The sequence below is a fragment of the Homo sapiens genome, chromosome 22, assembly GCF_000001405.40.
Source record: "Homo sapiens chromosome 22, GRCh38.p14 Primary Assembly".
Taxonomy (NCBI): domain Eukaryota; kingdom Metazoa; phylum Chordata; class Mammalia; order Primates; family Hominidae; genus Homo; species Homo sapiens.
This window is the reverse complement of record NC_000022.11, coordinates 16,448,457-16,463,768: the sequence shown is the minus strand read 5'-3', so window position 1 is coordinate 16,463,768 and position 15,312 is coordinate 16,448,457. Positions and strand designations below refer to the sequence as shown.

The 15,312-nt window shown below is 38.1% G+C and overlaps 1 pseudogene; it reads left to right on the top strand.

Annotated features, from left to right (window-relative positions):
* The window catches only part of SLC9B1P4 (solute carrier family 9 member B1 pseudogene 4), a 48,121-nt pseudogene that overhangs the window by 13,107 nt on the left and 19,702 nt on the right, over nucleotides 1-15,312 (top strand).

Here is a 15,312-nt window from a genome sequence, read left to right as displayed (position 1 = left end):
TGCTTCATTGTAGTGATCTCACACATATGTGCCAGCAGCAGCAGCACACAGCAGGTATGCATGTGTTGGCAGGGGTGCAGCGCCGGCAGGAGTGGGATGGGGTGTTCTGCATACTTGCACGTGCCAGCCGGGGCAATGGTGTTGTGGGGTGCACTCATGTGCTGCTGCAGACAGAGTGGCAGCATCTTCATGAGTTTTATGTTATCATTCTAGATCTTTAAAAATAATGTTCTGGACTTCTAACAAATGTATTTGTGAACCCAGAGAAAAAAAGAGTATTATTTTGCACATTTTTACGTAATCATACCCAAGAAAATTTTACTTTACAATTTGTTCTTTTCACTCAACAATAGTCTTGAGGTTTATCCATCTCAAGATGGATACACATGTAGTTTATTCCTTTTAGTTGTATAAGATTACATTGTATGTCAACAGCAGATTTTATTTACAATGTTATCACAAAAATAGCATTTTATTTGTCTCATTTTACATAAATATAAGTTTGTCTAGAATAGTTACCTGGGTTACATGCATTTTTAGTTTGATGTATACTGCGAAAATCCTTTCGGTATGGCCACTTTAATTTGCCCTAATACCAATAGCTTATGAGCATACCTGTTGTTCTTGAAAATCCTTGCAAATCCTTGATATTATTAAATTTTATAATGTTTTCCAGTCTGATAATTGAAAAAATGGCATATTTTTGTTATTTTAATTTGCATTTCTGTGATTATTCACAAGCTTGAATATCTTTTATATATGTGTTGTCCTTCAGCTTTTCCTTATCTGTAACTAGCCTGTTCATATCTTTTGTCTATTTTTTTGTTGAGTTGGTCTTCTTTATTAATTATATCTGTTATGTGCATTTGTAAATTATATGTATTGCAAATATCAGTAGATATTTAATTTTGTTTGTGATGATTTTTTTTTCACTCTAAGAAGTGTATTTTGTTATTTTCAACAGACAGAATTGCCAATACACAACACCGTTCACTTGACTTTGAAAATGAAAAAGAGAAAAAGGGGGAGAAAGAGCAGAATTGCTTTTGAAGTAGCACTTTATTATAGTACTTTTGAAGTTGCTTTTGAAGTACTACTTTAATATAATTGAATGTATCAAAATCTCTTTTTATGTCTAATGCCTTTGTATGTATCATTCAAAAGGTCCTTTTTACCTCATGATCACAAATATATTATTCTACATCTTTTTTTTGTTGTTCAGAGTCTTGCTGTCACCCAGGCTGTAGTGCAGTGGCATGATCTCAGCTCACTGCAACTTCCACCTCCCAGGTTCAAGTGATTCTTCTGCCTCAACCTCCCAAGTAGCTGGGACTACAGGCATGCACCACTGCACCCAGCTATTGGTTTCACCATGTTGGCCAGGCTGGTCTCAGATTCCTGATCTGTCCACCTCAGCCTCCCAAAGTGCTGGGATTACAGGTGTGAGCCATCACGCCTAGCCCACAACATTTTCTTATTACTACTTTTCCTTTTGAGCTTTTAACATTTATTATGTGTAAGGATCTATCTATATTCCTTTCCACATAAATAGTTATCTCAACACCATTTGTGAAAGATTTCTTTCTTTCTCCCACTGATTTAAAATACCAATTGTATGATGTAACAAATCCCATGGATTTGTTTCCACACTTTGTATTCTCTTTTCTTCCAATTTATTTTGTCTATTTATATGTCACTATTATTTAGTTTTAACTATTTTACCTTTACAAAAACAGTATCTTGTTCTCTTAAGTTTACTTGATCTTTCATTCTAAGATCTTATTCTTCCAAATGAATTTTATAATCAGCTTGTCAAGCTCAGTAAAAATCCCTGCAATGATTTTGATTGGTGTATCTCTGATTAATTCATTTGGGGGAGAGATTACATCTTTATATTATTGAGGCTTTGGCTGGGCGTGGTGGCTGACACCTATAATCCCAGCACTTTGGGAGGCCAAGGCAGGCATATCACTTGAGGTCAGGAGATCAAGACCAGCCTGGCCAAAATGGTGAAACACCGTATCTACTAAAAACACAAAAACTAGCCAGGCGTGGTGTTGGGCGATGGTAAAATTGGGGCTTTTTATTTCACACTTGTGAAATGTCTCTCTAAGTATTCAGGTATTATCTTAATTATTATATTATTATATTCACAATTTTTATAAAAGTATAGACTGTCTTCACAGTTTTGTTCTTAGATACTTTGTGTTTTTAATTGATGTTGTGGATTAAATTCTCTTTGATCACTTATTCCTGGGGAAGCCAGCTGCCATGTCCTGAGGCAGCCCTGTGGAGAAAACCCCACTGGAAAAAACTGAAGCCTGCAATGGCTACATGAGTAAACTTGGAAGCAGATCTTCTCCACCCCACCCTACCTCATGGGAAATCTTAAGTCAAGGCATACAACTAAGCCATGCCCAGATTCCTGACCCACAGAACTCATAAGACAATAAATATTTGTTGTTTTAAGCTGCTATGTTTGGGGATGACTTGTTAAGCAAAATGAGAAAAATAATACAACAGGTGATTACAATGTGCAGCAGAGTTCAGGAACCACTGAACTAGACCAGTATGTGGTCTTAGAGAAGTCTAGTCTCTTCTTGAGCGCACAGGGAAATCTGTAGCATAAACTGCGCCATAGAGTTGTACAGCCAGAAGCAAATCTCACATCAGTCCGTCATTGGCAGATGCTGTCTGGAGGGAAAGTAGAGGGGTACACAACCTTCCTAGTATTCCCAGGTAGGTGCTTGTCAGCAGGACAAGGGTTCTAGAAACCTGCAGATATTAGCAGCCAACAAGAATCACTGGGAGATGTGTTCATTGACCTGGTAAATGGATTCTGGCAGGAGCACCAAAAGCATTTCTACACAGGATATACTTCACGCTTTATAAAGTAAATGTAGAAGAGATGAGGTGAAATTCTGGATAAGATATGCCAATAGAAGGTATTCTGAGCAGGAGCCTCCCCATTTCTCATGGGTGTCATCAACCACTCCAGAAATGTTCTCATTTGCCTTTGTAACTTAGGTGGCCACACTTGTTTTTTTGGGCAGACAACTCTGTTCCTTCCTTCCTTACTTACTTATTTACTCAAGAGGTAGGAAATGTGTGGAAGGTAGATTTGTCTGACCATTCTTACAGTGGTACTCCAAATAATCAACTATTTGGTTTCCCCAGAGGTCTCTCCTGCTCCCAGCATCTGTCATTTCAGGGCTTGGACCACTTTTAGAAGCACATGTATCTTTTGAGGCAATCTTATTTACACACATTTTGGTTTATGGTTTCCTTTTTTCAATCCTAAATTGTCTGTCTCTTTTCTTTCTGGCATATACTTAGTTTCTTGTCCATTGATGATTCACCTTTTGCTTTCTAGTTAGGTTATGAATTTTTCTATTACCTTTACATCTTCACTTCAAAGGATTTAGGAATAGAGGGAAAGGCTGCAACCTGTGCTCAGCCCAACATTTTAAACCACGTCTGTATAAAATTTTAGCCAGCACTAAACAATGCATGAAAAGTTTTATCACCATTAAATTGCATTCACTCAAATTTGAAATTCTTCTAAACAATGTTTGTTATAAATTTATTATAAACTAGTTGTACTTAAAAAACACTACTTGATTAAAAAGATGCTTTTAAATTAATTTTCATTCTTTCTTTCAGTTTTGTTCTAGGTGCTGTCTCTCCTGCTGTTGTTGTCCTTTACACAATGGTGTCGCAAGAAAATGGATATGGTGTTGAGGAAGACATTCCAACCTTACTAATGGCTGCTAGCAGTATGGATGACATTCTGGCTATCACTGGATTCAATACATGCTTGAGCATAGTCTTCTCCTCGGGTAAACAAGAAAATATAACAACCACCAGATCATTCATGACCTTTTTTGTTAGTTCTTTAAACAGGGTTTCTGGCTTTGCTTCTTCATTTAATAACCAAGACTGTTCAATTTAACATCTTTTTAATCTCCATAGAAAGCTCATTCCAGACCAAGGAAGATATTTCAGTGGCTTAAGATACCACTACTTAACACACATGATCTCACTTTAATAATCATGTGACAATTAATTTGATAAACCATATTATTACTATTTGTCTGCTTATGTTGCTTTTGAATTTTATCAGTTCTAATTAGAAAAAATTAAGCAGCAGTATTATTTGTACTACTAATATTTCAATAGGCATTTTTGAAATGTGCCTTTTTGGCCATCCTAATAAACAACTGGTTGCTCTATTATAAGACAACATAAACATACAGAGCTGGGACAGCCATATGCTTTTTTGGTAGTGTTAGGACAAGATCCTGCACCAGTTCTGATTCCCAAGGTGATATCTGGTCTTGAATATCACTACAGAAATTGTGAAACTAAACATTTCCACATTTAGTAATGCTTTAATTATCTGTAATGTTTGAGTCTTCTGTATTATTGAAGCGCTAAACTATTTTTAAGTTGAAAAGTAATATATATAGTTTTATAGTTTCTCTTAAAATAAGAAAATATAAATAAATAAGAAAAAGAGGAAAAGTTAAAAATAAAATCTGCAATAGTCACATCCAGAAGAAAAGAATCATTTCCTTCTGAACCTTTTGATATAAATCCACCCATATTCCCTTCCCTTCCCTTCTTCCCTTCTTTCCTTCCCTTCCCTTCCCCTCTCCTCCCCCTTCCCTTCCCTTCCCCCTCTCTCTGTCAAATATTCTTATAAAAATCAGTGAATATTGACCAATATGTTCTTTTATTTTTTTTTTTTTGAGGAGGAGTCTTGCTCTATCACCCAGGTTGGAGTGCAGTGGCACAATCTCGGCTCACTGCATGCTCTGCCTCCCGGGTTCATGCCATTCTCCTGCCTCAACCTCCCAAGTAGTTGGGACTACACGCGCCCGCCACCACGCCCGGCTAATTTTTTTTTGTATTTTTAGTAGAGCCAGGGTTTCACCGTGTTAGCAAGGATGGTCTTGATCTCCTGACCTCGTGATCCGCCTGCCTCGGCCTCCCAAAGTGCTGGGATTACAGGCATGAGCCATCGCACCCGGCCTAATATGTTCTTATAACCTGAATTGTTTTACACTTAACTGTATATCACAAACATGTTTCTTTTCAGTAAATGTATTTGTAAATCATTTTTAATAGTTGTTTAGCTTAATGAAAGAGTATTCAATGTGCTGCATCATGATTACTTATCCTGTTCAAAATTAAAGTTAACTCCAATATTTACTATTAAAATAATACTTAGTTGGGCTGCTATAAAAATATTTTTTAAATTAAAAAATTGGCCGGGCATGGGTGGCTCACACCTATAACCCCAGCACTTTGGGAGGCCAAGAAGGGTGGATCACTTGAGGTCAGGAGTTCAAGACCAGCCTGGCCAACCAACATGGTGAAACCCCGTCTCCACTAAAAATACAAAACTTAGCCGGGCATGGTGGTGGGCATCTGTAATCCCAGCTACTCAGGAGCATGAAGCAGAAGAATCACTTGAACCCAGGAGGCAGAGGCTGTAGTGAGCTATCCAGCCTGGGCAACAGAGCGAGACTCTGTCTCAAAAAATTTTTTTTTAATTAAAAAAATAATACTTAGTTGAACATATAGAGAAATATTTGTACCTAATTTTCATATTTTCTTAAGCCTAAAAGTGTAATTGTTGATCTAAAAGGTATATACATTTATGAGTATTCTGAAACATATTGCCACAATATCATGTCCTACCAAGGTACATAAACTTGTCATTTCCTCTCACCTCTCTTCAAAACTTGGTATTACTAGCCTTTTTCATCTTTGCTAATTTGATAGGTGAAGGAGGGATCTCTATAAATGAAGTACTTTGAATACTAGTGATGTTAAATATCCATGTTTATTAGTCATTGGCATTTTGTAAACTGCTTTTCTTGAAAGTTTTTTGCCTATTTCTTTTAGGTGGGTTCACCTTTTGTTCTTTTTGATTTGTCAAGATTCTGCATCAAATTGAGAATGAAAACCTTTGTTTTATATACTTTAGTTTTTTCAATTTGTAATTTGGCTTTTAATTTTCTCACTTTTTACCATTCAGAGCTTAAAGTTTTTTATTGTCAATTGTGAAAATCTTTTCCTTCATGATTGGTATCTGTCATTCTTTCAAAAAATATTGTTATCAGTTATGTTTCAAAAAAATATTTCCAGGCTGGGCCCAATGGCTCACGCCTATAATCCCAACACTTTGGGAGGCCAAAGCGGGGGGATCACTTGAGGACATGAGTTCAAGACCAGCCTGGCCAACATAGCAAAGCTCCATCTCTACTAAAAATACAAAATGTTAGCTGGGTGTGGTGGCACAGGCCTGTAATCACAGCTACTCAGGGGGCTGAGGCAGAAGAATCGCTTGAACCCAAGAGGCAGAGGTTGCAGTGAGCCAAGATCACACCACTGCCCTCCAGCCTGGTTGACAGGGGGAGACTGTCTGAAAAAAAGAAAAAAAAATCCTCTTCCTTTTGCCGGCTACTATGCCAAACACTGAGAATAAACGGTAGGCAACAACATCAGCTTTTACTGAATACTTGCTTGGCTCTTGTTCTACGTTCCATATATGTCACCACTCATTTACAGGTAAGGAAACTGAGAAAGATGTTAAGTAATTTACTCAAGGACAGAGATCCAATAAGTAGGGGAGCCAAGATGCAGATCTGACAGTCTCATTCCACACCCACACATTTAACTCTTCTCTTCTCCACTGCCGCCCAACACAACAGAGAGACAAGATCAAATGGTGCATGTTCTCAAGGAGCTTGTATATTAAAGAAAAATTACAAATGGGATGAATATTACATTGTGAAGGTTAATATGAAGTAAGTGTCAACTTGATTGGATTGAAGGATCCAAAGTATTGTTCCCGGTTGTGTCTGTGAGGGTGTTGCCAAAGGAGATTAACATTTATTTAGTGGACTGGGAAAGGCAGATCCACCCTCAATGTGGGTGGGCACCATACAATCAGCTGCCAGCATGGCTAGAATAAAGCAGGCAGAAGAAGGTTAGGAGAAGCTGACTTGCTGAGCCTTCTGGCCCTCATCTTTCTCCCATGCTGGATGCTTCCTGCACTCAAATATCAGACTCCAGGTTCTTTGGCTTTTGGACTCTTGGACTTACTCCAGTTGTTTTCCAGGGGTTCTCAGGCCTTCATCCAGAGACTCAAAGCTGGCCTGTCGGTTTCCCTACTTTTGAGGTGTTGGTTCTCGGACTGAGCCAATACTAGATTCCTTGCTCCTCAACTTGCAGACGGCCTGTTGTAGGACTTCACTTTGTGATGGTGTGATTCAATTCTCTTTAATAAACTCCCTTTCATATATATATATACTATTAGTTCTATCCCTCTAAAGAACCATGACTAATACAGATTTTGATACTGAGGTAATGGAATATTGCTATAAGATACCTGAGAATGTGGAAGTGACTTTGGAAGTGTGTAATGTGCAGAGTTTGGAACAGTTGGGAGGACTCAGAAGAAGACCAGAAGATGTGGGAAAGTTTGGAACTGCCTAGAGACTTGTTGAATGGCTTTGACCAAACCGCTGATAGTGACTTGGACAGTGAAGTCCAGGCTGAGGAGGTCCGAGATGGAGATGAACAACTTGTTGGGAACTGAAGTAAAGGTCACTCTTGCTATGCTTTAGCAAAGAGACTGGTGGCATTTTGCCCCTGCCCTACAGATTTATGGAACTTTGAAATTGAGAGAGATGACTGAGGACATCTGGTAGAAGAAACTGTTGTTGTTGTTGTTATACCTTAAGTTCTAGGGTACATGTGCACAACGTGCAGGTTTGATACATAGGTATACATGTGCCATGTTGGTTTGCTGCACCCATCAACTCATCATTTACATTAGGTATTTCTCCTAATGCTCTCCCTCCCCCAGCCCACCACCCCCCAACAGGCCCCAGTGTGTGATGTTCTCAGCCCTGTGTCCAAGTGATCTCATTGTTCAATTCCCATCTATGAGTGAGAACATGCGGTGTTTGGTTTTCTGTCCTTGTGATAGTTTTGCTGAGAATGATGGTTTCCAGCTTCATCTATCTCCCTGCAAAGGATATAAACTCATCATTTTTTATGGCTGCATAGTATTCCATGGTGTATATGTGTCACATGTCTTAATCCAGTCCATCATTAATGGACGTTTGGGTTGGTTCCAAGTCTTTGCTATTGTGAATAGTGCCGCAATAAACATACATGTGCATGTGTCTTTATAGTAGCTTGATTTATAATCCTTTGGGTATATACCCAGTAATGGGATTGCTGGGTCAAATGGTAATTCTAGTTCTAGATCCTGGAGGAATCACCACAATGTCTTTCACAATGGTTGAACTAGTTTACACTCCCACCAACAGTGTAAAAGCTTTCCTATTTCTCCATATCCTCTCCAGCATCTGTTGTTTCCTGACTTTTTAATGATTGTCATTCTAACTGGGGTGAGATGGTATCTCATTGTGGTTTTGATTTGCATTTCTCTGATGACCAGTGATGATGACCTTTTTTTCTTGTGTCTGTTAGCTGCATAGATGTCTTCTTTGGAGAAGTGTCTATTCATATCTTTGCCCACTTTTTGATGGGGTTGTTTTTTTCTTGTAAATTTGTTTGAATTCTTTCTTTGTCAAATGGGTAGATTGCAATTTATCTCCCATTCTGTATGTTGCCTGGTTCACTCTGATAGCAGTTTCTTTTGCCGTGTAGAAGCTCTTTAGTTTAATTAGATCCCATTTGTCAATTTTGGCTTTTGTTGCCATTGCTTTTCGTGTTTTAGTCATGAAGTCCTTGCTCATGCCTATGGCCTGAATGGTATTTCCTAGGTTTTCTTCTAGGGTTTTTATGGTTTTAGGTCTAACATTTAAGTCTTTAATCCATCTTGAATTAATTTTTGTATAAGATGTAAGGAAGGTATCCAGTTTCAGCTTTCTACATATGGCTAGCCAGTTTTCCCAGCATCATTTATTAAATAGGCAATCCTTTCCCCATTTCTTGTTTTTGTCAGGTTTGTCAAAGATCAGATGGCTGTAGTTGTGTGTGGTCTTATTTCTGAGGCCTCTGTTCTGTTCCATTGGTCTATATATCTGTTTTGGCACCAGTACCATGCTGTTTTGGTTACTGTAGCCTTGTAGTATAGTTTGAAGTCAGGTAGTGTGATGCCTCCAGCTTTGTTCTTTTTGCTTAGGATTATCTTGGCAATGCAGGCTCTTCTTTGGTTCCATATGAAATTTAAAGTAGTTTTTTTTCCAATTCTGTGAAGAAAGTCATTAGTAGCTTGATGGGGATGGTATTGAATCTATAAATTACTTTGTGCAGTATGGCCATTTTCATGATATTGATTCTTCCTATCCATGAGCGTGGAATACTCTTGCATTTGTTTGTGTCCTCTTTTAATTCGTTAAGCAGTGGTTTGTAGTTCTCTTGGAAGAGGTCCTTCTCGTCCCTTGTAAGTTGGATTCCTAGGTATTTTATTCTCTTTGTAGCAATTGTGAATGGGAGTTCACTCATGATTTGGCTCTCTGTTTGTCTATTAATGGTGTATAGGAATGCTTGTGATTTTTGCACATTGATTTTGTATCCTGAGACTTTGCTGAAGTTGCTTATCAGCTTAAGGAGATTTTGGGCTGAGACGGTGGGGTTTTCTAAATATGCAAACATGTCATCTGCAAACAGGGACAATTTGACTTCATCTTTTCCTAACTGAATACCATTTATTTCTTTCTCCTGCCTGATTCCAGTGGTCAGAACTTCCAACACCATGTTGAATAAGAATGGTGAGAGAGGGCATCCTTCTCTTGCGCCAGTTTTCAAAAGGAATGCTTCCAGTTTTTGCCCATTCAGTATGATATTGGCTGTGGGTTTGTAATAAATAGCTCTTATTATTTTGAGATACGTCCCATCAATACCTAATTTATTGAGAGTTTTTAGCATGAAGGAGTGTTGAATTTTGTCGAAGGTCTTTTCTGCATCTATTGAGATAATCATGTGGTTTTTGTCTTTGGTTCTGTTTATGTAATGGATTACGTTTATTGATTTGCATATGTTGAACCAGCCTTGCATCCCAGGGATGAAGCCCACTTGATCGTGGTGGATAAGCTTTTTGATGTGTTGCTGGATTTGGTTTGCCAGTATTTTATTGAGGATTTTTGCATCGATGTTCATCAAGGATATTGGTCTAAAATTATCTTTTTTTGTTGTATCTCTGCCAGACTTTGGTATCAGGATGATGCTGGCCTCATAAAATGAGTTAGGGAGGATTACCTATTGTTCTTTTTTTGTTTTTTGGACGAAAAAAGAACTGTTTAATTTTTTTGATGTTTTCAATGTTGATATTTTTTCCAAGAATTAGAGAAATATCTCTGGATGGTTATCTAAAATTTATAATTTTTGTACAGATATGGTATGTAGGAGAGTATCATAGTTTTTCTATTACTATACTTTAAGTTCTAGGGTACATGTGCACAATGTGCCGGTTTGTTACATATGTATATATGTGTCATGTTGGTGTGCTGCACCCATTAACTCGTCATTTACATTAGATATATCTCCTAATGCTATCCCCCCCTCACCCCACTCCATGACAGGCCCCAGCATGTGATGTTCCCCACCCTGTGTCCAAATGTTCTCATTGTTCAATTCCCACCTATGAGTGAGAACATGTGGTGTTTAGTTTTCTGTCCTTGCAATAGTTTTCTCAGAATGATGGTTTCTAGCTTCATCCATGTCCTTACAAAGGACATGAACTCATCCTTTTTATGGCTGCATAGTATTCCATGGTGTATATGTGCCACATTTTCTTAATCCAGTCTATCATTGATGGACATTTAGGTTGGCTCCAAGTCTTTGCTATTGTGAATAGTGCCGCAATAAACATACGTGTGCATGTGTCTTTATAGCAGCATGATTTACAATCCTTTGGGTGTATGCCCAGTAATAGGATGGCTGGGTGAAATGGTATTTCTAGTTCTAGATCCTTGAGGAATTGCCACACTGTCTTCTACAATGATTGAACTAGTTTACACTCCCACCAACAGTGTAAAAGTGTTCCTATTTCTCCATATCCTCTCCAGCACCTGTTGTTTCCTGACCTTTTAATGATCGCCATTCTAATTGGTGTGAGATGGTATCTCACTGTGGTTTTGATTTGCATTTCTCTGATGGCCAGTGATGATGAGCATTTTTTCATGTGTCTGTTGGCTGCATAGATGTCTTCTTTTGAGAAGTGTCTGTTCATACCCTTTGTCCACTTTTTGATGGGGTAGTTTGATTTTTTCATATAAATTTGTTTAAGTTCTTTGTAGATTCTGGATATTAGCCCTTTGTCAGATGGGTAGATTGTAAAAATTTTCTCCCATTCTGTAGGTTGTCTGTTCACTCTGATGGTAGTTTCTTTTGCTGTGCAGAAGCTCTTGAATTTAATTAGATCTCATTTGTCAATTTTGGCTTTTGTTGCCATTGCTATTGGTGTTTTAGTCATGAATTCCTTGCCCATGACTATGTCCTGAATGGTATTGCCTAGGTATTCTTCTAGGGTTTTTATGGTTTTAGGTTTGACATTTAAGTCTTTAATCCATCTTGAATTAATTTTTATATAAGGTGTAAGGAAGGGATCCAGTTTCAGCTTTCCACATATGGCTAGCCAGTTTTCCCAGCACCGTTTATTAAATAGGGAATCCTTTCCCCATTTCTTGTTTATGTCAAAGATCAGATGGTTGTAGATGTGTGGTATTATTTCCGAGGGCTCTATTCTGTTTCATTGGTCTGTATCTCTGTTTTGGCACCAGTACCATGCTGTTTTGGTGACTGTAGCCTTGTAGTGTAGTTTGAAGTCAGGTAGTGTGATGCCTCCAGCTTTGTTCTTTTTGCTTAGGATTGACTTGGCAATGCAGGTTCTTTTTTGGTTCCATATGAACTTTAAAGTTGTTTTTTCCAATTCTGTGAAGAAAGTCATTGGTATCTTGATGGGGAAGGCATTGAATCTATAAATTACCTTTGGCTGTATGGTCATTTTCATGATATTGATTCTTCCTATCCATGAGCATGGAATGTTCTTCCATTTGTTTGTGTCCTCTTTTATTTTGCTGAGCAGTGGTTTGTAGTTCTCCTTGAAGAGGTCCTTCACGTCCCTTGTAAGTTGGATTCCTAGGTATTTTATTCTCTTTGAAGCAATTGTGAATGGGAGTTCACTCATGATTTGGCTCTCTGTTTGTCTGTTATTGGTGTATAGGAATGCTTGTGATTTTTGCACATTGATTTTGTATCCTGAGACTTTGCTGAAGTTGCTTATCAGCTTAAGGAGATTTTGGGCTGCGATGATGGGGTTTTGTAAATATACAATCATGTCATCTGCAGACAGGCACAATTTGACTTCCTCTTTTCCTAATTGAATACCCTTTATTTCATTCTCTTGCCTGATTGCCCTGGCCAGAACTTCCAAGACTATGTTGAATAGGAGTGGTGAGAGAGGGAATCCTTGTCTTGTGCCAGGTTTCAAAGGGAATGCTTCCAGTTATTGTCCATTCAGTATGATATTGGCTGTGGGTTTGTCATAAATAGCTCTTATTATTTGAGATACGTCCCATCAATACCTAGTTTATTGAGAGTTCTTAGCATGAAGGGCTGTTGAATTTTGTCAAAGGCTTTTTCTGCATCTGTTAAGATAATCATGTGTTTTTTGTCTTTGGTTCTGTTTATATGCTGGATTACATTTATTGATTTGCATATGTTGAACCAGTCTTGCACGCTAGGGATGCCAACTTGATCATGGTGGATAAGCTTTTTGATGTGCTGCTGGATTCAGTTTGTTAGTATCTTATTGAGGATATTTGCATCAATGTTCATCAGGGATATTGGTCTAAAATTCTCTCTTTTTGTTGTTGTGTCTCTGTCAGGCTTTGGTATCAGGATGATGTTGGCCTCATAAAATGAATTAGGGAGGATTCTGTCTTTTTCTATTGATTGGAAAAGTTTCAGAAAGAATGGTACCATCTCCTCTTTGTACCTCTGGTAGAACTCAGCTGTGAATCCATCTGGTCCTGGACTTTTTTTTGGTTGGTAGGCTATTAATTATTGCCTCAATTTCAGAGCCTGTTATTGAACTATTCAGAGATTCAACTTCTTCCTGGTTTAGTCTTGCAAGGGTGTATGTGTCCCAGAATTTATCCATTTCTTCTAGATGTTCAAGTTTATTTGTGTAGAGGTGTTTATAGTATTCTCTGATGGTAGTTTTTATTTCCCTGGGCTCAGTGGTGATATCCCCTTTATCATTTTTATTGCATCTATTTGATTCCTCTCTCTTTTCTTCTTTATTAGTCTTGCTAACAGTCTATCAATTTTGTTGATCTTTTCAAAAAACCAGCTCCTGGATTCATTGCTTTTTTGAAGGGTTTTTTTGTGTCTCTGTCTCCTTCAGCTCTGCTCTGATCTTATTTTTTGCCTTCTCTCAGCTTTTGAATGTGTTTGCTCTTGCTTCTCTAGTTCTTTTAATTGTGATGTTAGGGGGTCAATTTTAGATCTTTCCTGCTTTCTCTTCTGGACATTTAGTGCTATAAATTTCCCCCTACACACTGCTTTAAATGTGTCCCAGAGATTCTGGTACATTGTGTCTTTGTTCTCATTGGTTTCAAAGAACATCTTTATTTCTGCCTTCATTTTTTTATTTACCCAGTAGTTAGTCAGGAGCAAATTGTTCAGTTTCCATGTAGTTGTTCAGTTTTGAGTGAGCTTCTTAATCCTAAGTTCGAATTTGATTGCACTGTGGTCTGAGAGACAGTTTGTTGTGATTTCTGTTCTTTTACATTTGGTGAGGAGTGCTTTACTTCCAATTATGTGGTCAAATTTAGAATAAGTGAGATGTGGTGCTGAGAAGAATGTATACTCTGTTGATTTGGGGTGGAGAGTTCTGTGGATGTCTATTGGGTCTATTTGTTGCAGAGCTGAGTTCAGGTCCAGTATATCTTTGTTAACCTTCTGTCTTGATCTTTCTAATACTGACAGTTGGGTGTTAAAGTCTCCCATTATTATTGTGTGGGAGTCTAAGTCTCTTTGTAGGTCTCTAAGGACTTGCTTTATGAATCTGGGTGCTCTTGTATTGGGTGCATATATATTTAGGATAGTTAGCTCTTCTTGTTGCATTGATCCTTTTACCATTATGTAATGGCCTTCTTTGTCTCTTTTGATCTTTGTTGGTTTAAAGTTTGTTTTATCAGAGACAAGGATTGCAACCCCTGCCTTTTTTTGTTTTCCATTTTCTTGGTAGATCTTCCTCCATCCCTTTATTTTGAGCCTATGTGTGATTTTGCGCATGAGATGGGTCTCCTGAATACAGCACACTGATGGATCTTGACTCTTTATCCCATTTGCCAGTCTGTGTCCTTTAATTGGGGCATTTAGCCCATTTACGTTTACAGTTAATATTGTTATGTGTGAATTTGATCCTGTCATTATGATATTCGCTGGTTATATGCCTGTTAATTGATGCAGTTTCTTCCTAGCATTGATGGTCTTTACAACTTGGCATGTTTTTGCACTGGCTGTTACCGGGTGTTTCTTTCCATGTTTAGTGCTTCCCTCAGGAGCTCTTGTAAGGCAGGCCTGGTGGTGACAAAATCTCTCAACATTTGCTTGTCAGTAAAGAATTTTATTTTCTCTTTCACTTATGAATCTTAGTTTGGCTGGATATGAAACTCTGGATTGAAAATTATTTTCTTTAAGAATGTTGAATATTGGCCCCCACTCTCTTCTGGATTGTAGGGTTTCCGCCAAGAGATCAGCTGTTAGTCTGATGGGCTTCCCTTTGTGGCTAACCTGACCTTTCTCTCTGGCTGCCCTTAACACTTTTTCCTACACTTCAACCTTGGTGAATCTGACAATTATGTGTCTTGGAATCACTCCTCTCAAAGAGTATCTTTGTGTTGTTCTCTGTATTTCCTGAAGTTGAATGTTGGCCTGCCTTGCTAGGTTGGGGAAGTTCTCCTGGATAATATCCTGAAGAGTGTTTTCCAACTTGGTTCCATTCTCCTCATCACTTTCTGGTACACCAATCAAATATATATTTGGTCTTTGCACATGGTCCCATATTTCTTGGAGGCTTTCTTCATTTCTTTTTACTCTTGTTTCTCTAACCTTGTCTTCTCACTTTATTTCATTTATTTGATCTTCAATCACTGATACCCTTTCTTCCACTTGATTGAATTGGCTATTGAAGCTTGTGCATGCGTCACAAAGTTCTCGTGCCATGGTTTTCAGCTCCATTGGGTCACTTAAGGTCCTCTCTACACTGTTTATTCTTGTAAGCCATTCGTCTAATCTTTTTTCAAGGTTTTT